General features: G+C 37.5%; 1 long non-coding RNA gene across 1 annotated transcript; it reads left to right on the top strand.

Moving 5' to 3' along the window:
- Positions 1-422: 422 nt before the first annotated feature.
- LINC01603 (long intergenic non-protein coding RNA 1603) lies at positions 423-23,797 on the top strand. Its single transcript, NR_110433.1, has 4 exons — positions 423-849; positions 969-1,080; positions 18,619-18,691; positions 22,946-23,797. It is a non-coding gene; the product is annotated as a long intergenic non-protein coding RNA 1603 (long non-coding RNA).
- The last annotated feature ends 1,795 nt before the right edge of the window (positions 23,798-25,592 follow it).

Genomic DNA, 25,592 nt, shown 5'->3' with positions numbered 1-25,592 from the left:
GCTCATTTTAGAGAATTTCAAATCCATTCAAAGTATCATGGGTTTAAATTTTTCTAATGGAAGCAAAGCTTTTGATGTTTGGGTTTAGAAAGCTGCCTGGTCTCTTTAGAGTTCAAATTTTCATACACTGGAACAATTGATCAAAGATTTTATTTTAGGACAGAGAGAAAAGGCAATTTACTTTACCTATAGTTGTTTTGTGTTCTCAACATTATTATTACACAATTTTTTTTTTCTGAACCATCTCCCTGTTTGAAGATCTACTTTTTAACTAACATATTGGCTTCACCTTCTTTTTGATCAGTCTGATAAGCCATCTGGAAACAATTGAGAGTGACGTCACAAGTCCAGCATTATGATTTCAATGTAGGATCAAAGAATAGAAGGGGAAAAAATGAGGAGTGGAAAAGCTCGATTTAACCTTTAAGTACAGATAACTATCAGGGTATGAAAAGGCAAGAAAACATGACAAAATGAAAGGATTATTGATGGGCAATAAAGGAAGCGTAGTAGGTTTACCTTGAGATTTCACTGAGCTAATATACTGGCTCCCATTTCTATGTTTATTGTAGGAAAAAGAGAAAAACACTAATCCAGGGATAGAGCTGACTAGGGATGCCCAAGTCAAAAAGACTTTGTAGCACTGGGCTTGGCAGAGGGTCCTGAAGCTAAATGCAGAAAACTGCGGGAAATGTCTTCAACTGGGGCTAAAGGTCGTAAGCAAGGACAATGAACCTGGAATTTGGAGGAATTCATACTCCAGTGAAGAATTTCCAGACCCCTCATGAAAATAGCAGATTGCCTACTCACCAGAGAATACTCAAGCTGAAACTAAGCAGCCCCTGGAGGGTAAGCAAATGATTAGAAGGGTAGATTTCAGGCAAGCAAAAGGGTGAGAGCCCAGAATCTCCATGTGAATGACCCTAAAATTACAGGTAATATAGGAAGTGGCTTCCTTGTACCTCTAGAAATTGAACTCTCAGAACCTGACTGACAGTCTGCTCTTAAGAACATTACCTCAATCTGGAGAGAAATGTGTGTTTCCTCTCCTATATGGATTTCAGACAGAAGCAGAAGGAGGTGAGTGAATTTCAGGAAGGATGTTGGGTCTGGAAAGCTATAAAAGCTTTTCTTTGGAGAAATCAGAGACCAGCAACTCCAAATTCTTTTTTATTGTTATTTAAATCAACAACACTGTATTTTCCAGAATTATCAGCAAATATACTGTAGTTCTATATTTTATCTATAAAGGTGATTTATTTAAAACATCCTTGAATGCTATTTAATTTTAATATCTTTGCCAAGTACCTTTCTACCAATAAATTTATACATTTTAAAAATTATTATGAGGTCGTATGTTCCAATTTGAATTTGGAAAATATAATTACTATACTAGCTCATGAACTCCTTTGGTTACCAAGCTATGCCCAAAAAATTTTCCTCTACATTAGTCACTCTTATCAAGATTGAAGTTACTCAACTATTTAAGTAATTCTTATCTAATATAACAATTCTCACAGTAAAGTGAGGGCATTTCCAACCCTTGATTTTCTGTTGCCTCTCCTTATTTAACTATAATATGACCCAAATGAGGCATCAATAAAATCTTATTATTATTATTTGTTTTTTTTTAGAGATGCTGTCTCACTATGTTGCCCAGGCTGGGCTCAAGCAATCTCCCTGCCTCAGCCTCCAGAGTGGCTACTACTCCAGGTGTTAAAGGTTGCTATGCCCAGCCCAGGATCTTATTTTTTAATATTATTGTGCAGTGGCACGATCATAGCTCACTGCAGCTCCAATCTCTCAGGCTCAAGGGATTCTCCTGCCTTAGTCTCCCAAGTAGTCAGGACTACAGGGACTATAGGCATGCACCACCACACTCAACTTTCAAAAAAAAGTTATTTATTTTTATTTGTTTTAGTAGAGATGGGGTTTTGCTACATTGCCCAGGCTGGTCTCGAACTCCCGAGCTCAAGTGATACCCCCACCTCGGTCTCCCAAAATGCTGGGATTACAGGGGTGAGCTACACCACGCCTGGTCTCAGAATCTTATTTTTTAAAGTGAAAAAGCAAGTGGTCATATCTACGAAAAAAAAGTCATTAAAAAAGAACATACACATAACCAAATTCTGCTGCCCTCACTTTATTGTGAGAATTGTTTTCATACTACATATTTGCTTGTATGCTGCTGCCAGTGTACCTAAAATAATTACCCTTGTGAAATAGAAATTCATGAAAATTCAGAGAGGTAGATGTGAAGGACTGAAAAGGTGTAAGTTTGTATATTATGGCACATATGTTATAGGGATAAGTTTTTGTACAGGCTTCAAATTTCTAGCTCTCTTTTGAATATTCACTGGTTCATGAGAAGTGGTTTGGGAAACCTTTGAAAGGTCCATTTGACCACAAAAGGGAACAGACGTTCTGGAGTCTGGAGAGTTTTGTACTCGAAGATACCCCAGTCAGCAGGAAGTCATGTGGAACATTCTGCAGACAGAATTGTTTCAAGTTTGAAGATCCCTGGGATACTTTGATGAAGTTGAGCCCAGCCTTCAGCCAGAGCTGTTGAAGCCCTTTCTTTATAGCAGCAAGGCTGGGGGAACCAGATATGACTCAGGCCAGAGCCGAGCCAATCTGTGGGGTGGTGGCTTGTGGGTCAGTGGGACCAGACAGTGGGGCAATGTGTGGCCTTGATGTGATAATTTTTAAAAACATTCAGGCTTTAGAATCATTTTCAACACAGTACCCTAGGAGCCACTAACAATTGACTGGAGTTTGCATTTAAGTTCAAAAAGCATTTGTCATCCTGGCCTGAGATGAAGAACATATCATTTTTGTCGACAATTTTGGAGGATATATGTGATTTTATTTATACATGGAATGATTTCATATTTTTGCTTAGCACAATTATAAATTCATAAACATTCCCAGTTTACAAATGTCCGATTTGTAGGTTGTTTAAAACTCATAACCTGGCCGGGCGCGGTGGCTCACGCCTGTAATCCCAGCACTTTGGGAGGCCGAGGCGGGCGGATCACGAGGTCAGGAGATCGAGACCATCCCGGCTAAAACGGTGAAACCCCGTCTCTACTAAAAATACAAAAAATTAGCCGGGCGTAGTGGCGGGCGCCTGTAGTCCCAGCTACTTGGGAGGCTGAGGCAGGAGAATGGCGTGAACCCGGGAGGCGGAGCTTGCAGTGAGCCGAGATCCCGCCACTGCACTCCAGCCTGGGCGACAGAGCGAGACTCCGTCTCAAAAAAAAAAAAAAAAAAAAAACTCATAACCTGTGGGCTAGGCGTGGTGGCTCATGCCTATAATCCCAGCACTTTGGGAGGCCAAGGTGGGTGAATCATGAGGTCAGGAGTTTGAGACCAGCCTGGCCAACATGGTGAAATCCCATCTCTACTAAAAACACAAAAAATTAGCTGGGCATAGTGGTGGGCATCTGTAATCCCAGCTACTCAGGAGGCTGAGGCACGAGAATCACTTGAACCCAGGAAGCGGAGGTTGCAGTGAGCCGAGATTGTGCCACTGCACTCCAGCCTGGGCGACAGAGTGAGACTCCTTCTCAAGAAAAAACAAAAACAAAACCCTCATAACCTATGAAAACAACAGTGGCAGTGGGAGGACAAAAGAAAGGAGACAGAGGACAGAGTATGTTTATCTGTATCTGTCAGCACAGCAAAATACTTCATAACCAAATCTCATAGAGTCTGATGCTTCTGGCTTCAACTTGCTACTTCATCATGTATTAAAGCTGCGTGACTTCTTTTTTTTTTTTTTTAAATCTGGTTCCTTCATTTGTAAAATGGGGTGCTTTTCAAAATTAAATATGGCAGCTTAAGCAAAACACTGCTTAGTACATAGTGCATACTAAGACCTCCATAAGAGTTAGCTTTGATTAACAGAGATATTTCTGTTCCTGGTGAATTGAAGAAAATCCTAGCCAATTCTCAACTTTTTTTTTTTAAATAGGATCCTTGGCAACTTAAATTTTTCTAATTAGACACCACCTGGATATCAGTGTGTACTAATGCAATGCAGGTGGTGCAAAAGGAAGTTTACTAAGAAATAGGAACCATTGGCCCTTGGCCCAGTTGGTTTTCAACAAATTGTTGAACAAGTTATTTACCTTTTCTGGGTTCTCAGTTGTTCATATGTAAAATTGTGGTTCTATAATGTTATGATATCAGGTGGTGTTATTTTAGAGGGATTTGCAAATTGGGAAATTAGTGAAGTAAGTTCTGTCTCCTTACTGATATCGCTCTTCTTTGATTCCCTCTCCTCTTCCTTTCCAGGCATGGACACACCCACCCAAGTCATTCAGGCTCAAGTCTAGTCTGTATTAAGTTAAAATGTTTATGTGAACACAAGAGAACTGAAAACATACATCCACACAAGAACTCATACACATATGTTCATAGTAGCACTTTGCATAATAACTAAATGATGGAAATGACCCAAATGTCCATCAACTAATGTATGGATAAATAAAATGTGGTATATCCATTCACTGGCCATAGAAGGGAATGCCATATTCACTGGCCATAGAAGGGAATGAAGTGATGATATATGCTACAACATGGATGAACCTTGAAAATATTGTGAAAAGTGAAAGAAGACAGACACAAAAGAACAAATATTGTGATTCTATTTATGAAAACTATCTAGAATAGACAAATCCATGGAGACAGAAACGAGATTAGTGGTTGCCAGCAACTGGGGGAGGGGGAGGTGGGGAGTTACTCTTAATGGGTATGAGGTTTCTTTTGAAGGTGATGAAATATTCCAAAATTCCAGAATTGATTGTGATGACAATTGCACAACTGTGTGAATATACTAAATACCTTTAAATTGTACATTTTAAAAAGATGAATTATACAATATGTGGATTATATCTCAATAAAGCTATTATTTCAAAAACAAATTCTATTTGAAAGATGCAGAAGACAAAATGGTGACTCATTTGGCTTCTAGTTGAGAATCTGAAGAACTTCCTGTGATACAAAACAAGCTTGTCTAAAAGGGTCTGTAAGCCAACATTGAGTCAGGAGATATATCTTTGGAATCTTCCATTAAGAACAAAAGAAATCATTTCTTAGGAAATAAAGACAAAACAAAGAGAGTATCTGAATTTTGTAATAGGATAGGAGGCAAATCGAAACTTTCACTGTAAAACTTAAGGTGAATAGTCAAATTCATGTCATGTGTTCTTAGGTTTTCCCTAGAGATAAATAAAAATAAATCAGCTTTGAGGATTCTGAGTGCTTACATTTGCTCCTCACTAAATGTATGTATGTATGTATGTATGTATTTATTTAGTTAGTTAGTTATCTTGCTCTGCCACCCAGGCTGGATTGCAGTTGCATAATCTCGGCTCACTGCAACCTCCGTCTCTCAGGCTCAAGCTATCCTCTCACCTCAGCCTCCTGAGTAGCTGGGATTACAGGCACGCGCCGCCACGTCTGGCTAATTTTTGTATTTTTAACAGAGATGGAGTTTCACCATGTTGACCAGGCTGGTCTCAAACTCCTGACCTCAAGTGATCCTCTCTCCTTGGCCTCCCAAAGTGCCGGGATTACAGGCATGAACACTGCTCCCGGCCCTCACTAAATTTAAAATGTCAAAATACTTTATTGTCTATTTCTAAAGATAAAATTTTCTACTAATAAAAACAACCCAAGTAATCTGTAAATTTATAAGCAATAGTCACCTTTTCTCTCTCTTGCAGACACACAAACATCAAATGCTAGCACCTCAGATTTCTGTTTTAGATTTTTTTTTTTTTTGAGATGGAGTCTCGCTCTGTTGCCCAGGCTGTAGTGCAGTGGCACGATCTCGGCTCACTGCAAGCTCCGCCACCCGGGTTCATGCCATTCTCCTGCCTCAGCCTCCCGAGTAGCTGGGACTACAGGCACCTGCCACCACGCCCAGCTAATTTTTTGTATTTTTAATAGAGATGGGGTTTCACTGTGTTAGCCAGGATGATCTCGATCTCCTGACCTCCTGATCCACCTGCCTTGGCCTCCCAAAGTGATGGGATTACAGGTGTGAGCCACCTTGCCCGGCCAATTTTTTTTTGAGACAAGGTTTTGCTTTGTTACCCAAGCTAGAGTGCAGTGGCACAATCGTGGCTCACTGCAGCCTTGACCTCCCAAGCTCGAGTGATCCTCCCACCTCAGCCTTCTGAGTAGCTAGGACTACAGCCGTGTGCCACCACATCTGGCTAATTTTTAAATTTTTTTTCATAGAGATGGGGTCTCTCTATGTTGCCCAGGCTGGTCTTAAACTCCTGGACTTACGGAATCCTCCCACCTTGGCCTCCCAAAGTGTTGAGCTTACAGGCTTGAGCCACCGTGCCTGGCCAGAATTTATTTTTGTTTGGAATCCTACCATAGATATTAAAATAAAGTTCACATGATTTTGCCTATATGAGTGTAGCAGACAGTTAAGAATCATCTATCTACTCATTAATGTTAAGTTCCTAAAGACCCTTCTGCAATTCTTATCACTAGCTTGTTCTAATTATTAGGCACAGTCCTTGCCTGCTGTGGCTAAGAAAAACAACCACAAAACTTCTTCAGAAACTAAAGAAGTCTTGCCCAGTCAGCAGATAAAGGCAAACACTGAGAAATAGGGAGATAACAGATTACCTTTACTGTCACTCTTCTCAAGAAAACTGGAGATAGAGGTGGGGTGGGAGGAGTCCCAAGCCCAGTGCCAGCTCTGAGGCACTGTCAGCTCCTGATTACCAAGGTAACTTGGACCTCTTCCTTCAACCTCTGCTGGCTACATGTGAGAAATCTCTCATCCTTAGGAATCTTGCCAATCGGGCCTCTGCCTCTTTGTTCATCCCAAGGAAGAGATATGTGGGCCTTGTAGCACACAGAGCCCTGTAGATAATATTCTCTTCTCCAAGTAAGAGAAAGGAGAGCAGGCGGGGCTCTAAGCGCCGTATATGTGTGTGTGTGTATATGTGTGTGTGTGTGTGTGTGTGTGTGCGCGCGCGCGCATGTTAGGAGCCTGAAATCATGGAATGAATTGGAATGAGATTGCAGCTATTTATATTTAAGAGGCAATTTTAATAGAAGCTGTGAAAGATTTCAGCAGTCAAAATGAAGAAAGAAGTTCAGACATGGAGATGGGAATGGCTGAATTGTCCACGGGGATTTTCTGCAGAATATGTCACCCAGTTAAACTCTCCTGTTAGAACAAGTTGTTTTGGGCACTTTCTCCCTACAGTTTTAAGTGACACACAAGTGCTGCTGAGAGTACAGCCTTTACTAAAGACCTTACTAAAGGCAGAGAAGAGGAAGCTGCCCGGGCAAGCGAGAGATAGTGGGAGCAAAGGAAATGAGACTTCTGACAGAAGAAAAAGGGAGCATTATTATGGCAAATACACAAAACATGACATTTACTATTTTAACTATTTTAAAGTACACAATTCAGTGGCATTAAGTAGGTTCACGATGCTGTGCAATCCCAAAGTTATATTTCAGAAAATTTGTCATCACCTCAAAAGGAAGCCCTGAACTTAGTAAGTCAGTCACTCCCCCTGCCCATTTCTCAAGTCCCTGGCAACTGCCAATCTGTTTCCTGTCTCCAGGGAAACTTGCAAACAAATGTCCATAGAAGCACTATTCACAATAGCCAAAAGGTTGAAGCAACCCAGATGTTCATCAATAAATGGATGGATAGACCAAATATGATCTATCTGTGCAAGGGAATAGCACTCGGCCACAAAAAGAATACACTACTACTGCCAATGGGTATGAGGTTTCTTTTTGGGGCAATGAAAGTGTTCTACAATTGATTGTGGTCATGGTTGTACAACTTTGTGAGTATACTTAAAAGCTTTTCACTTTAAATGGTTGAATCATATGGTACATGAGTTAATATTTCAACAAAGCAGCTTAAAAAGAAACTAAAAGAATGAAGTACCGACACACGCTACAACACAAATGAACCGCCAAAACACTGAGCTGCTCCATTTCTGCTCTTAGAGAGTGAAGGGATGGGCAGGGTAGTGGTGGGATATCACATAAGGGTCCACAGGCTTGGGACCTGGGAAGGGCCCCAAGGGACAGCACCATTCAGGCTGTCAGGTTATATTCCACCCAAGGAACCCAGAGGAGCCAACTAACTTCTACATAGGTTTATTTTACGAATTTTTTTCCAAGGGCTTTAAAATTTCCTAAAAGCAGGCAATAATTTAGGAGTTAGAGGAAGTTGGGAAAAATTAAACATGAAGGGTAGTCATCCCTGCCTTCTTTGATTTTTATGAGTCATCTTTCCTTGCCACCTCTCTCCTCTCCTCCCTTCCTGTCCTCCCTTCCACTCCCTCCTGTACACCAGCCCAGCCAGCTTGTCTCCTTTCTTTGGACTTGCTCTGTGATGTCTTCCTTTGCCTGTGCTCAAGTACACCTTGTATACTCAGACCCAGTCCAGTATCTGGTACAGAGTAGGCACTTAATATATGGCAGTTGAATGAAGGAAAGAATTATGAGTGAACAGATAAATCAAGTATTCTGCTTCTGGAAGTCAATGAACAGATAGACACTTAATCACGTCCCACCTCTCAAACTGCACTTTCCCAAAGCTCCAGATCCCTTCTCTGGAACAACTGTCTGTGTCCACTCCCCTGAAGCTCTCTGAACTTTTACGTTAGTGCTTATTTTACTCTCTTATATTTTGGGCCAGCAGTAAAGACCTTATCTTCATTCATCTTCATGTTTCCTATAGCCTTTAGTAGAGTGACATGCACAAAGATATACTCTTTAACATTCATTTCACTGAATTACCTTGAGAATGTACAAAGTAAAATAAAAATCTACCTAGTCTCCTCTTTCAGGTCTTTAAAATCCCTTTGTGGAACTTTCTGAGATACTTTCAGGCAAATCTATCCCTGTCCTGTCCTCTAATGACACATTTGATATTCTTTTCCTCGGGCAGCTGGGGGATTTGTAATTTAATGTTCCCCCTGAGGTATGGTGAGCTCCTTTAAGGCAAGGATGCCTTGATATCTATTTATTGATTGAATAAATAAATGAATGAACTGTACTAATGCTAATTTTGCTTTAATGAAGACAGGATAGGCTCCATCAATGATAAAAGAAGTTGACAAAGAAATAAATTATGGAAATAAGTTTTGAAGAAATACCTTTTATCTCATTTGGGAAAGAGAATTGTAAAATGCAGTTTAGTTATCCTATTTTCATAAAAGTGATTTCAATTTTCCTTTACTTTTACTGCAATTACATGTACATATAGTTCAAAGAGCTAGATAGTTCTACAAGTTATGTTATGAAATATACCAGTCCTCTCTGCCCTGCCCCACCCTGATTTCCCTTCTTGGCAGGAAACACTTTCATTTACTTTAGCTGATTTTAGAATTTACCTCCATATCTCTAAATTCCATGATTTTCTTGCTGTTTCTGACTTTGAGCTGAGGTATTCCATCTGCCTCTGCAGATGTGAGAGACTGAATTCTATTTCCTCCTATTGTCACCATAACCGTGCACTCTTTCCATGTCTTCATCCTTGCAACATTGTCCTATAGTTTTGATTACATCAGAATTCAGTGTTTATATTACCATAACATGACAATTGTATATGCTATTCAAAGCTGAGCCATTGTATTAAGTAAGTCTTCCTTTTCCCAATCTGTATGTTTTGTTTTCTCTGAAGAAAATAATTGCCTTCTTTCTGTTTTTATCAGTAATTCAACTTCAAGGCCAGTCTAAATTTCATGGTATGGGGAAATTAATAATGTGAACATCTAGAGGAGTCAGTGACACAAGGGACAGCAAGAGGCATGAATCACAGTCTGAAGACCTTCTGATGGATCAGATCTTCTCCCGTTTGCATCTTCTTGAAAAAATATCTATCACAGCCCTTGGGGCTGGGCCCATCTGGCCTGCTTGGCTTGTGTGCCAGATCACAGCTGCCATCCTTGGTCTCTCTTTTTCATTATTCCTCCCTCGTCTCTTCATGTGCCATCTCCTGTTTTCTGTATTTTATTCTTCATTTTTCCTGTGTTACTCCTTAATTTTTGTGGCATGTATCCTCCAGTAGTTTTCATAGATAGGTTGAAAGCAAGGTAAAATTTCAGAGATGTTATTTGTCTGGAAATGTCTATCCTGGCCTTCTGACTTGATCTGTAGTTGGACTGGGGGTGGAATTCTAGGTATGAAACATGTTCCCTTCAGAAGTTTAAAGGAATTGCTTCACTGTAATCCTGCTTTAAGTGTAGCTGTTAGGAAGCCTGAAGCCATTCAGGTTTATGGTTCATTTCATGTGATCTGTTTTTCTCTCAAAAAGCTCTTATCTCTCAGTGATCAGCAGAAATCTGAGGATTTTCTTTTTTCTCGTAGCATCTATTTTATCCACTGTGAGGGGCATTTAGTGGATTCTGTACTTTGAAGTCATATGCTTCAATTTTCTGAAATTCCCTTGAGTATGTTTGTGGATGATATCCTTCTCCCTGTTTGTTGGCTCTCCCTTTTAGGGCCTCTTGGACTAGTCCTCTCTCTTTTTCTTATATTTTTACTCTTATTTTCCATGTCCTTCATTTTTGCTTTACTTTCTGTGAGGCCTATCTTCCTTCTCTTCTATAGAATACATGTAATTTCTGCAAACAGAATTTCAATTTCCAAGAGCTTGAGACCTATGCTTTTTGTTTTCAGAATCACTTTTTAAAGAGCATTCCATTCTCCTTACATGGCTACAATGTTTTCTCTAATTTATTGGAGGATATCATTGATAGTTTTTGCTTTTTAATAACGTTTCTTCCCCTACATTGTGTCTGCTTCCATGGAGTTGTTCTCTTGTTTGTTTGGTTTTGTCTTTATCTGTCAGGTTAGCGGCTTTTCCTCAGATGTCTGATGATCCTCCTTGCCTTTTCATATGGAAAGGTGGGGTGACAGAAGCTCTGGGTATTTTCTGGTGTAAATTACATCTCTCTCTGATAAATCCTTTGATTTGCTACTCACTCGTCTGTCTGCTTTCCAGCTTCTGAAATCTTGTTTTTCTTGCTTCCTTTCCTGTTCTTTACAGTTTTGTTGGTTTGTTCATTAAAGAAAATCTTTTTATTCTTATTTTAGTGAAGTTTCAGGAGGGATCAAAGTAGATACAGGTGTTCAACCCACCATCTTTTTCATGATATAATTATTGTATATTTCATAAGGCACTTAATACAATTCTATGACAAAAGTCTTTGCACAAATATATGTAGATTTAAGTTTGACTGAGAAAGGATTGAGGTGGATATAATAAAAATATAAACTTGCAAAGTTAAGAATTCTAATGTTGAAAGAAAAAGCACAATAGTAGGAATGTGTAAAGAGCACATTGAAATTAATAATACTAGTTTACATTTACTTAATGCTTATTATGTGAAAAACTGTACACATTTAATGTATACAACTCGATGAGTTTGAGGATAAGTATACACCCATGAAACCATCATCACCATCAAGGCTATTAACATATTGTTTTTGTTTTTTGAGATGGAGTTTTGCTGTTTTGCCCAGGCTGGAGTGAGGTGGTATGATTCAGCTCACTGCAACCTCCACCTCCTGGGCTCAAGCGATTCTCCTGCCTCAGCCTCCTGAGTAGCTGGGATTACAGACGCCCGCCACCATGCCCAGCTAATTTTCATATTTTTAGTAGAGATGGGGTTTCACCACATTGTCCAGGCTGGTCTCGAGCACCTGACTTGAGGTGACCCACTCTCCTCGGCCTCCCAAAGTGCTAGGATCGCAGGCGTGAGCCACCGTGCCCATTCAGCCATAAATATATTAATTGCCTCCCAAAGTTTCCTCTTGCCACCTTTGTTATTATTGTTATTGCTTTCTTCTTTGTTGAGAACACTTAACATAAGGTATACTCTCAGCAAATTTTAAGTGTACAATTAAGTATTGTTAGCTATAAGCAATATGCAAGAACTTACCTTGCATAAATAAAAATTTGTGCCCTTTGACCATCACCTCCCCAGTTTTCCCTCATCTCAGTCCCTGGTAACCACCATTCTACTCTCTGCTTCTATGAATTTGACTATTTTGGACTCCACATATAAATGAGATCACACATTTAGTATCTGTCTTTCTGTGCCTGTCTTATTTCAGTTAGCATAATGTCCTCCAGGTCCATCCATGCTGTTGCAAATGGCAAGATTTCCTTCTCTCTCTCTCTCTTTTTTTTTCTTTTATCTTGAGATAGACTTTCCCTCTTGCTGTCCAGGCTGGAGTGCAATGGTGTGATCTTGGCTCACTGCAACCTCCACCTTCCAGGTTCAAGCGATTATCCTGCCTCAGCCTCCCGAGTAGCTGGGATTACAGGCATGCACCACTATGCCTAGCTAATTTTTTTTTTTTTTTTTTGGATTTTTTAGTAGAAACAGGGTTTCGCCATGTTGGCCAGGCTGGTCTTGAACTCCTGACCTCAGGTGATCCACCCACCTCGGCCTCCCAAAGTGCTAGGATTACGGGTGTGAGCCACTGCACCTGGACAATTTCCTTCTTTTTAAAGGCTGAATAATATTCCATTTTATGTGTATACCACATTTTCTTTATCCATTTGTCCACCAGTGGAAATTTAGGTTGTTTGCATATCCTGTCCATGCTGCAAAACACACGGGCATGCAGGTATCTCTTCAAGATCCTGATTTAAGTTCCTCTGGATAAATACCCAGAAGTGGGGTTGATGGATCATATGGTAGTTCTATTTTTAATATTTTGAGAAACCTCCTTACTGTTTTTGTTTCCTAAAGGCTGTACCAATTTACATTCCCACTAGCAGTGTATCAGGGTTTCCTTTCTCTCATATCCTCATTAAAGCTTATTATCTTTTGTTTTGTTAATATTAGTCATCCTAATAGGTGTGAGATGGTATATCCTTATGGTTTGGTTTGCATTTTCCTGATGGTTAGTGATACTGAGTACCTGTTCATATATCTGTTGCTCATTCACATGTCTCCTTTTGAGAAATGTCTTTTTAGGTCCTTTGCCCATTTTTTAATCAGGTTGTCTGTTTTCTTACAGTGAAATTGTTTGAGGTCTTTATATATTTTGAATATGAACCCCTTATCAGATGTATAGTTTGCAAATATTTTCTTCCATCCTGTTGTATTTTCTTTTTCTTTTTCTTTTTTTAAAAGACAGGGTCTCACTCCTGTTGTCTAGGCTGGAGTAGAGTGGAGTGATCACAGCTCACCGCACTCTTGACTTCCCAGATGATAAGGTTTGGCTCTGTGTCCCTACCCAAATCTCATCTCAAATTGTAATCCCCATAATCCCAACATGTCAAGGGAGGAAACTGGTGGGAGGTGATCAGATCATGGGGATGGTTTCTCCTATGCTGTACGCATGATAGTGAGTGAATTCTCATGATAGCTGTTTGTTTGATAAGTGTGGGGGTCTTCCCCTTTCATGCACTCTTTCTCTCTCTCCTGTTGCCTTGTGAAGAAGGTGCTTGATTTCCCTTCACCTTCTGCCATGATTGTAAGTTTTCTGAGGCCTCCTAGCATATGGAACTGTGAGTCAATTAAATCTCTTTACTTTATAAAAATTACCCAGTCTTTGGTATTACTTTATAGCAGTGTGAAAATGGACTAACACACTAGACTCAGGTGATTATCCCACCTCAGCCTCCCCAGTAGCTGAGACTACAGGCATGCACCTGACTACAGGCATGCACCACGCCTGGCTAATTTTGTGTATTTTTAGTAGAGACAGGGTTTTGCCATGTTGCCCAGGCTGGAGTCTTTTCATTCTGTTGGTTGTTTCCTTTGCTATTCAGGAGCTGTCTGGTTTGATATAATCCCACTTGTTTATTCCTGCATTTGTAGCTTGTGCTTTCAGTGTCTTATCTAAAAATCCATTGCTAAGATGAATCAAAGAACTTTTCCCCTGTCTTCTTCTAGAAGTTTTATTTTTGTCACACCTTACACTGAAGCCTTTAATCCATTTTGAGTTGATTTTTTGTGTATGGCATAACACAATGGCCGGGTTTTATTTTGCATGTGGATATCTAGTTTTCCCAATACTATTTATTGAAGAGGTTGTCTTTTCTTCATTTTGTATTCTGGGCACCCTTGTCAAACATTAGTTGACTGTATATGTGTGGGTTTATTTTCAGGCTCTCAATTCTGTACCATTGGTCTATGTGTCTGTTTTTATGCCAGTACCATGGTGTTTTTATTACTATAGCTTTCTACTATAATTTGAAATCATTAAGTATAACGTCTTCAGCTTTGTTCATTTTGTTCAAGACTGCTTTGGCTATTTGGGGTCTTTTGTGGTTCCACATGAATTTTAGGAGTTTTTTCTCTGTTTCTCCAAAAAATAACATTGGAATTCTGATAGAGATTGCATTGAATGTGTAGATCGCTTTAGGGAGTATGTCTATTTTAACAATACTGATTCTTTCAATTCATGAACATGGCATATCTTTTCATTTTTCTGGGTCTTTTAAAATTTCTTTTCTTGATATTTTGTGGTTTTCAGTGAACAGACTCCTCACTTCCTTGATTAATTTATTACTAAGTATTTTATCCTTTTTCTTTTCTTTTCCTTTCCTTTCCTTTTCTTTCTTTTCTTTTCTTTTCTTTTCTTTTCTTTTCTTTTATTTTCTTTTCTTTTCTTTCTTTTTGCTGAAGTCTCACTCTGTTTTTCAGGTTGGAGTGCAGTGGTGCAATCTCTGCTCACCACAACATTTGCCTCCCAGGTTCAAGCGATTCTCCTGCCTCAGCCTCCCAAGTAGCTGGGACTATAGGCGTGCACCACCATGCCCGGCTAATTTTTGTTTTTTTAGTAGAGACGGTGTTTCACTATGTTGGCCAGGCTGGTCTCTAACTCCTGACCACATGATCCGCCCGCCTCGGCCTCCCAAAGTTCTGGGATTACTGGCGTGAGCCACCGTGCCTGGCCTGTCCTTTTTTTTTTTCCTTATTGTAACTTTGCTTTCTGATTTTTTTAAAAAAAATTTCTCCAATCTGGGGTAAATATAGAAAATTGGCTTGGGTCTCTCTAATACTGGGGAAGCAGCAGGGGCTCTCTTTGGTCCACTCAACCTTTGATACTGTATTAAGGCCTTTATTTTACATAATAAATTTCCATTTACCTCATTCCATTTCCTAATAATAATCTAATGATTCCCACCCTGCTGGGATGGGTCCCATGATTCTCCCCTTCCTTTTTTTCTCTGAGTTTCACCCCTATCAACATTTTTTTTTTTTTAAGTTCTGGGATACATGTGCTAAACGTACAGGTTTGTTACATGGATATACATGTGCCATGGTGGTTTGCTGCACCTATCAACCCATCATCTAGGTTTTAAGCCCTGCATGCATTAGGTATTTGTCCTAATGCTCTCTCTCCCCTTGCCCCCCACCACCTGACAGGCCCCGGTGTGTGATGTTCCCCTCCCTGTGTCCTTGTCTTCTCATTGTTCAGCTCCCACTTATGAGTGAGAACATGTGGCGTTTGGTTTTCTGTTTGTTTTCTTCATTTATTTTTTCAGATAGTTTGTTGTTGGTGTATAGAAATGTAACTGATTTGTGTATTGATTTTGTTGATCAATACAAATAAAGCTCATCCTACAACTTTATTAAATTTGTTTATTAGTTTTGACAGTTTTAGGTTTTTTTTTTGGTGAAATCTTTAGGATTTTCTAGATATAAGACCATATCAACTGCAAGCAGAGAAAATTTTACTTCTTTCTAATTGTTATGCTCTCTCTTTCTTCTTTCTTTGCCTAATTGCTCTGGCTAGGACTTCCAATACTATATTCAATAGAAGCAGTGAGTGTGGGAATCTTTGTCTTGTTCCTATTCTTAGAGAAAAAACTTTCTGCTTTTCACCATTGAGTGTAATATTAGCTATGGGTTCAGCATATATGTTCTTCATTATCTTGAAGTGCATTCTTTTTATACCTAATTTGTTCAGTTTTTTTTTCTTAATCATGTAAGGATGTTGCATTTTGTCAAATGCTAAAGCTGGCATAACTTGTTTTAAGAAGGTAAAATAGCCATCCAGAGGGTATAAAAATGGGCTCAAAAGTCTGTGGCAAAAGATATGACCATTTAAACAACATAAAAGGTAATAAACACACTGGATTGAGACATACCAAATATGTTTACATCCATAAATTTATATTTATACTTAGAAATCATTGGATATTTTTGGAGGGTATAAGAAATCTTATTCATTATTTTGAAAAGAGGTAAGCAAAGGGAAATATTTAAGCATTTGTTCTCTCTTTCCTATATGAACTCCTCCTCAGAGTAAGAAACTTGTTGATTAAAGGCCTTTTCTTTTTATAGAAATATTCCAGGCAATGAATCAAGAAAAAGTTGTATCATTAGACTATTACAATTTTGCAACCACTAATAAATTAATAGAAGTAGGCAATGATTATCAATGGCTGCTAATATCACAAAAAAAGAGACTAGCAGACATGTGCATTCTGGAGATATATACAAATCCACCTGTGAGTTATTCCTGACCAAAAAAATCCATATTGTGAGACATTCTGTAGCACCATAAGACTTCATTTATGAGAAAACTGGACGTTTGAATACTGGCTGGCTATTAATTTTTAGATTGTTAAAAAGTATTATGGTTGTACTAAAATATTCATCATTTCTATTAATAGGTGCACCTTAAATATTTATGATTGATGTGGCATGATATCTAAATTTGTGTCACAATAATTGAGTAGGGAGGGTAAGATGCAAAAGATATTGTCTTTTAGTTGATCATTGTTTAAGCTGGTTGATGGGTACATGGGGGTTAATTTTACAAGTCTTCCTACTTTTGTATATATTTGAAATTTTCTGTAATAAAAAGTTAAAAAAATTCATCATACAAATCTTCTATGACATATTTTCAAAATAAATAACACAATTTGCAAAAAACCCATATGATATGATTATTTTTCACTTAAAGTATTACCTTCAAATCTCTATGTATGGTATAAAGAATATGTAAACATAGCAGCATAAAAGGATATATCAAAGATGGCCAACATCGGTTAACTCAGCGGGGTGAGATGGTGGTAGATGGGGGGTGAAGTGGGGAGTATACACAAAATTATTTCTGCACCTCTACCTTTTTATATTACACTATTTTAATTGTTTGTAACAATCTTATAATACTGTTATCATTGGAGAAAGATCAAATAAAGAAATGTTTTATATACATATAATGCATGTAGCTGTTTTTATTTTTTAATTAAAAATTTATGTTATTTGTTGAAAGATTTATTGCTTTTTTTGAATTAAAAAAAGCCTTAATTTCTTTTGAATGTGATTCCCAGAACAACGAAACATAAGGAAACTAAATTGTCAGAGTGAACTTAAAAGAAAGATGCAACCATATATATATAATGAAGCTACACCACAGAAGAAAGCAAAGAAAGATCAAACAAAAATTTCCAAGTAACGGTCAACAATAAATTTAGCAATATGCACTCAGTGTCACTAATTCTGAAATCTCTCCTCTTTGAAAAGTTACTTTAATGAATATAAAAGTGGCCATTTTCTCTTGTTGATCACTCAGTTGATGAAACTCTGATTAGGGAATTTTCTCTTTTTTTCCTTTTCTTTTATCACCAAGCAACCTAAAAAATGATGAGAGAGCAGCATGACCTGAAGGCTGGGGATGTCCCATCACCCTGAAATTATTTCTATTTCATTTTTGTTTCAAAGAAGACTTTCTCCTTACAAAAGAATAGAAGGAACTAAATTTTCGTCTTAGCACTAAATGCATCTCAATGCTGTGGAAACATTTCATTTTCTAGCGATTGCAAGGTCTGTATATCCCCTGCTGTTTGTAGTCTTTATTTAAAAAAAAAATTAAGAAAGGAAAAAAGGACAGAAGAAAGGAAGGAAAGGAAGAAACCCTACATGACAAGAGCATTAAACTGCAAGGGTGGTTCATTTCAATTTTGAAGCCTTTCTTCACTACTGCAAGGATACCGCTTTGGATTCATGTCAACGTCTTAATAGGGGAAGTAAAGCAGTTTATACGCCTCAGAGCACGGGTCCTCAAACCAGAAAATCAGCGTGAAGGGGAGAAGGCCAGCCCTGCCTTGGACCGATGGAAGCCACATAGTCACGGACTCTTCTGGTGAGGACCAGATGGCACAATTTGCAGAGGGCAGGTTTAATGTTGCTACCATTTAGACTGGAAGGAAAACATCTTTGAAGAAACATTTGTTTTACACCCCCTGCTCCCAATCTTGAATTCATCTCATACATATGTTGGAAATAATTCTACCCAAATTCAATTAAATTCTATTTTTATGTTGTTGGAATAACCTTACACTGTAAATTGAAAAGACGTTTCTATAACCTAGCGTGATTTTACTCTAATGAGCACTGCTATATCAAGGCATAATATTTTAATTTTGACTATCATGAATTACTTCTATACATAAATCAATTATACAACATGGCATATCAACAACTTTGTCCCTTTGCATTTTGATAAACATAAAAGCAAATGGAAAATTGAGAGCCGTTAATTTGTTGGAGTTTAAAAATATTCTATAAGTAATATTAATATTTATATCATTAATTATTTTCATTATCCCATTTTTTTCTTTATAATTTTTAGGCTTAGAGGTTCTTCGTCACAAGTTGCCAAAATGAAACAGAACTGTGAAAAGAAAATGGAGATGCTTCTTCAGGTATTGTAAAGTATATATTTCCTATAAAGTTTTTTTTTTCTTTTTTTTTATTGCTAAATCTGCCTGAATGAAAGGTTCAGAAGGTTAGGGATAGCTTACTCAGGCTAATCCCTTGTGGGTCTTATCTACAGGACTCACTAATTAATGACAGCAACATACATATCCTTGGATTGACAGATGATCTTCAATGGTCAAGTTCCGATACAATTTTAAAATATATTTTATATATTAATGAAAGTCTACAAAGATCTATTAGCCAGAATTCTTTCATTTGCAAGTGACAGAAACAAAATTAAATGGACATGGCCAGGCGCAGTGGCTCGTGCCTGTAATCCTAGCACTTTGGGAAGCCAAGGAGGGTGGATCACCTGAGGTCAGGAGTTTGAGACCAGACTGGACAATATGATGAAACCTTGCCTCTACTAAAAATACAAAAAATTAGCTGGGTGTTCACCTGTAATCCCAGCTACTCAGGAGGCTGAGGCAGTAGAATCACTTGAACCTGGGAGGCGAAGGTTGCAGTGAGCCGAGATTGTGCCACTGCACTTCAGCCTGGGCAACAAGAGCAAAACTTCATCTAAAAAAAAAAAAAAAAAATCAAGCACATTTCAGAGAATGGAAAGACCAGTCACAAATTGAGGGAAAATATTGGCAACACATATCTGATAAAGAACTTGTATTCACGCAGGCGTGGTGGCTCACACCTGTAATCTCAGCACTTTGGGAGGCCGAGGCGGGAGGATCATGAAGTCCGGATTTCGAGACCAGCCTGGCCAACACAGTGAAACCCTGTCTATACCAAAAAAAAAAAAAAAAAAAAAAAAATTAGCCAGTGCAGTGGCGGGTTTCTGTAGTCCCAGCTACTTGGGAGGCTGAGGCAGGAGAATTGCTTGAACCTGGGAGGCAGAGGTTGCAGTGAGCCAAGATTGTGCCACTGCACTCCAGCCTGCGTGACAGAGTAAGACTGTCTCAAAAAAAAAAAAAAAAAAAAAAAGAACTTGTATTCAAAATGCACAAAGAACTATTAAAACTCATCAATAAGAAAATAAAAAAGTCAATTAAGAAATTGGCATAAGATTTGAACAGGCACCTTACAAAAGAGGATATGGCAACTAAACATAAAAAAGATGCTGAAGATCATATCATCAGGGAAATGCAAGTTAAGACAAGAATGAGATACCACTATACATACCTATTAGAATGGCTAAAATCCAAAGCATTGACAACAACAAAGGCTGTTGAGGCTATGGAACAACAGAAACTCTCATTCATTACTTGTTCAACCTTTTGGAAGACAGTTTGCCAGTTTTTAAAATTATTTTATTTTATTTTATTTTGTTTTATTTTATTTTATTTTATTTTATTTTATTTTATTTATTTTTGTGAAACAGAGTCTAGCTCTGTCAGTAGGCTGGAGTGCAGTGGCACGATCTCGGCTCACTGCAACCTCCATCTCTCGGGTTCAAGCAATTCTCCTGCCTCAGCCTCCTGAGTAGCTGGGACTACAGGTGTGGGCCACTATGCCCAGCTAATTTTTGTATATTTAGTAGAGACAGGGTTTCACCATGTTGGCCAGGATGGTCTCAGTCTCTTGACCTCATGATCCGCTCGCCTCAGCCTTCCAAAGTGCTGGGATTACAGGTGTGAGCCACTGCTCCCGGCCCCTTTATTTTTATTTATTTTTTACTAAGTTTAACTTTGTCTTACCACATGATCTACCAATCACACTTTTAGGTATTTCCCCAAATGAGTTGAAAACTTACATCCACATAAAAACCTGCACACAGATGTTTATAGCAGGTTTATTAATAGTTGCCCCAAACTGGAAGCAACCAAAATGTCTCTCAGTAGATGAATGTATAGATAAACTGTGGTACACCTATACAAGGGAATATTATTCAGCTATAAAAATCAGTTGGCTACCAAGCCATGAAAAGACACGGTGAAATCTTAAATGCATATTTCAGGTGAAAGAAGACATTATGGAAAGACTGCATACTGTATGATTCCAACTATATGACTTATGAAAAAGGAAAAACTATAGAGCCAATAAAAAGATCAGTGACTGCCAGAGTTAGTGGGGAGGGAGAGGGATGAATAGGTGAAGCCCAGGGGAGGTTCAGGTTGGCAGCATTATTCTGTATGGTGGATACATGACATTATACATTTGTCAAAAGCCATGGAACTTAAACAATAGAAATAGTAAAAAAAATAAAAAAATAAAAAAAAAGTAAATTACGGACTTTAGGTCAGAATAACCTACCTACATTGGTTCATCGTTTGTAACAAGCATACCACATTAATGCAACGTGTTAATAATAGGAGACTGTGTAAGGGAGAGTGGAATAGGGGAACTCTATACTATCTGCTCAATTTTTCTATAAACCTAAAACTGTTTTTAAAAGTAGCCTATTAATATAAAAAATGTAAAAATAAAGAGAAAGAAAGAAGAAAGAAAGAAAGAAGAAAGAGAAAGAAAGAAAGAAAGAAAGAAAGGAAGAAAGTAAGAAAGAAAAACCTTCTCTGCCCACCTTACCTCCTAGATTTAGTGTTAGTAAGAACCGAGGTCAGATCCACAAAGTATGTTGCGAAAGATAAAATGTTGCTTTACACAATCTAGAAGTGTTATTTAAGTAGCCAAATTGCTAAAAATAGAATCAAAATCAATGTGGGTATTTAACACCAAACCAACACTTGGCATATGCTGAGAAGTATCTCACAGAACAGCAACAACAAAAAACATGATAAGGAGGAGAATGCAATACTGGAATAAGAATAAATAAATTTATAATAAACAGTGAAGTATATGACCTATAGAAAATAAACTGTGTAGATAAATAATGAGAAAATAAAATCAACCTACGTCTGAGAACTGTTTTAAAAATCTAATAATATATTGGATAGTGAATGTTACAGCTGAATAAAAGCAGATAAGACTAATACACTAAGATATAGACTAATGGGTAAAGAACTACGATTTTTAGTGGAATACTAAGTTCTGACTGTATGATAGACAAAGCTATGTGAGCTGTGCAAAATTCAACCACTTATAATTTTTAGATATTTGTATAAACAGTGTTATTGAAAGATATAGAAGAGTGCATGATTCCACCAATGCAAAGATTTTTTGATTTAGAAGCAAAAGCCATTGTGAACCCCCCCGTTACCTGAGCTTGATGGCAGGACTCCATCATCACGTGACTAGAGCAGGCCCTGAAAGCACAAATTTATTCAAAGAGCAGGTGGTTCACAATGCCCAGTGCGTCTACTCCTTCACAGCCTTCTTCAATCTATACTCATTCCTAATGGGATGTTTCCTAAGGCCAGTTGAGTAGTCATGCATGATCTGCCAACACTAATTGGAAATAGACTAACTGTGGCCTTATACACCCCTTCCTGCTGCTGAAGTTTATTGAGGAAGCAAAATCTTCCACGTAAAGGGCATGGACAGTTGTATCTGCTTATCCATTTGCCTGGAAAGAGATTTCGCTTTTGTATTGAAGCTCCACTGATTCTTAGATAATGATCAGTGGTTTGGTCAAATGGCTAGGGACTTCGAAGATAACACAGTCGGAACAGATGAAAAGAAAGTTTGGGGAAGAGGAGTGTGATAGTCTTCTTAAAATGGGCAAATATTTGTGTTCCAAATTAATAATCAACATAAAATCTTGCAGAAGAGGTTCTCAACAGTCTGGTGCACAAAATGACCTGCTCTGCAGGTGTTTGTCAGCCTAGGTAATAGCTACCTCAAAGCTTGCTTAATGTGCTCATGAACAACGTGGCCATGGTGGGAAGAATGGGGGCTTAAAACCTAATTTTATCATCACCATAGTTGATCAAGCTACTGCTTTTTATTAATGCACAACATATCAATAGCAAATATCAAAGCTGGTCCTTAGTAGGGCATCACACTCTGGCAGAAGGTGAATAATATTAGATGCCTTCTGTCTGAAGGACTTATATTCATGGGAAAAAACACTTGTTTAAGATATGCACTTGCCTTCCCTGCTTGCCAAACTTCTGACATCATGCACTGTCCTGGTAATCTCAATTAACATTGATTCTGAACAAGGAATATAGCTTACAATAAAGGAACATGGAGCAAGTGGAGAAGGGGATTTATAAAATTGTGGAGTATCAACTGTGTTATCATGACTATTACATTTTCTTCTTTGGTTTGGTATACATAGATATACACACATAGACACATACATGTGTGCATTTCCTTACATCCCTTTCCTTTCTCTTTTATAGGAGGTGCCCGTGATGTGATTTACTTGATGATTATGGCCTGCAGGGTATTGAGATGGGATTATGTAACTTAAATAAACTGGATATGAGTAGAGATCTGAAAGATTTTTCAAAAACATTCAGCTTTACTTTTTTTTTTCTCCTAAGGAACAAGTTGTTCACTCATAGAGCTGAAAAGGATAAATGAAGTGTTCAGTTCACAGAAGCAAAATATGAGTAGTTCATATATCTTTTGTAAATGTTCTATGTATCACTGTAAACTAGACATCTTCCACATGCCCCTATGTTTTTCCATTTTGAAATCAATTTCTAGTTCAAACTTGTCAATAGACAATGAATATTTGCAAAGTTATAGTTTCACTGAATTAGGATGTAACCTGTAGCTCACAATGAAAATGCCATTAGCTTGAGTTTAAAATTTATGTTGCTATTTTTTTCTTTTGTCAATATTTTCCTTCTGTGGGACTTATTGCACAAGGGTCGGATATCACAACTGAGGGAAACTGCAGAACAATGGTTCTTCCAATCATTCAGACCCATTTAAGCCATAGTCTTTGTTGGCTTTGCCAAATGACTGAATGCTTGGGTCTATTAGCACTGTCAAATAGTGTTGAGTACATACTTGTGGCATAAGCAAGTTAATATTTATAGGGAGCACTTTTGCATGTCTTTTAAGTCACATACTAATTTTGGAAAGTCTCTATGCTTTATATTTTGCCCTGAAAACAGATATTCTAGTTTAAAAATGTTAATTTAGTGATTAGAAACCGCTGTATATATTATTACATATATTGTCTAACAATTGAAGATAATTATGTTTATTAATTGCAAATAACAGGACACATAAATAATAAACTTTAAGATCTCAAATACAATGGCTAAATATTGCTGATTCCTTTTTGCCTTCTTTGACTTATTTTTTTCCATGTGTTCTCTTCCTTTATAGAAGTGTATTTTTTAGCTATGTGATGTAGATTGCAAATCAGATTAATAGACAGACATATCTTCCAACCTGTAGTTTAGGTAGGCTTTCTGATAATCCTTCCATGTAGTGAATATTAAATAATTGTCACAAAGTTATTGTTATTTGATTACTATTTTTATTTTTAAACTTTTATTGAATAATTTTATAAACTAGATTTTTAAAATAAAAGCAATGCATACTTATAAGAAAAAGAAATTCTAACTGTATATGAAAGGTTGTATGCTAAAAGTGAAAAGTTTCCTTACCCAAATTTCTCTCTCTCTCCTAAGAGGTAAGCACATTTATATACTTTCTCATATATCCTCCCAGATATTTATATGTATTTTAAAAAACATATATAGGATTTCTGTCTCTGGAAATTGCAAGCTAGGTAGCTTGGACAAACCCTCCCACTCCAAACAACTACAGAAGCTGGAAAAATTTTGAAAATTCTCTTAAGGCATTGGAAAGCTACCAAGATGGTGAGAGATTGTGCAGCCAAGACCCTGGAGAAGAAAAATGCCATAGAATTGAACTTGGCATTTGGAGACACTTCAATCCCTAGAGGTGCCATCAATTCTGAAAGTGTGCTTCAGTAGATACATAGGCCAGAGGAACACAAATTGTAGTCCAAATTGCACTCCAATTTGTGTTCCTCTGGACCAATGTATCTATTTGTGTTTCTTTTTCATGTTGGAAAAGAAAACATGGTAACTCTCTGAAGCTTTGGAGTAGGATTCAGAATGATTACATTCTAGGAATGACAATAAATTTAGAATCAATCAGCACTTCCAGGGAGAAGACCCAGCTTTAAATTATCCTAATTCTTGATTGGATTGAGGTTATTTGTGGTTGCTAGTGACTCTAGCATACCTGTCTGTCTGAAGCAAGTAATTATTTCAGGACAAAGATTACAATCTCTAGAGCCTAATATTAGCACCATAATTTTTTATAAATAATTTTCAGCATTCAAAAAAAAGGGAGGCATACAAGGAGATATGATCATGTGAGTAGAAGCCAGGGGAAAGGAACAGATAACAGAAACAAATTTAGAGGGGATATAGATCATATAGATACCAGAAACTAAATTTAAAATATCTATGTTTATGTTGAAGAAACTAAACAAGATTGGAAATTTGGCAGATTTAGAAACTGAAAAAGAAACAGAAATTTTAGAAGTAAAAAAATACAATAAATGAAATAAAGAACTAAATAAATAGATTTAACAGGAGATTACATAAAGCTGAATAGAGAATTAGTGAACTGGAAGATAGATCAGAAGAAAATATTTAAATATTTACATTATAAACAATGAAAAATACAGAAAAGAGCCAGAAGCAACAGTGAAATGTGTTGAAAATGTCTGACTCTAGAAGGATGAGAAACACTTTTTGAAAAGATAATTGCTTTAAGCTTTCCCAAATTATATGACAATGTATGTGTGTATGTATGTGTATATATACACATACATATACACATACACACATATGTGTACATATGCTGCTTATATATAAGTGTGTGTATATATATATATACACACATGTAGAGGGGATATAGATCATGTAGATACCAGAAACTAAATTTAAAATATCTATGTTTATGTTCAAGAAACTAAACAAGATTGGAAATTTGGCAGATTTAGAAACCGAAAATGAAACAGAAATATATAGATACACACAATATGTG

This window comes from Homo sapiens, chromosome 8 (assembly GCF_000001405.40).
Source record: "Homo sapiens chromosome 8, GRCh38.p14 Primary Assembly".
Taxonomy (NCBI): Eukaryota; Metazoa; Chordata; class Mammalia; order Primates; family Hominidae; genus Homo; species Homo sapiens.
The sequence above is the reverse complement of the archived record's forward strand: the minus strand, read 5'-3'. Positions and strand labels throughout refer to the sequence as shown.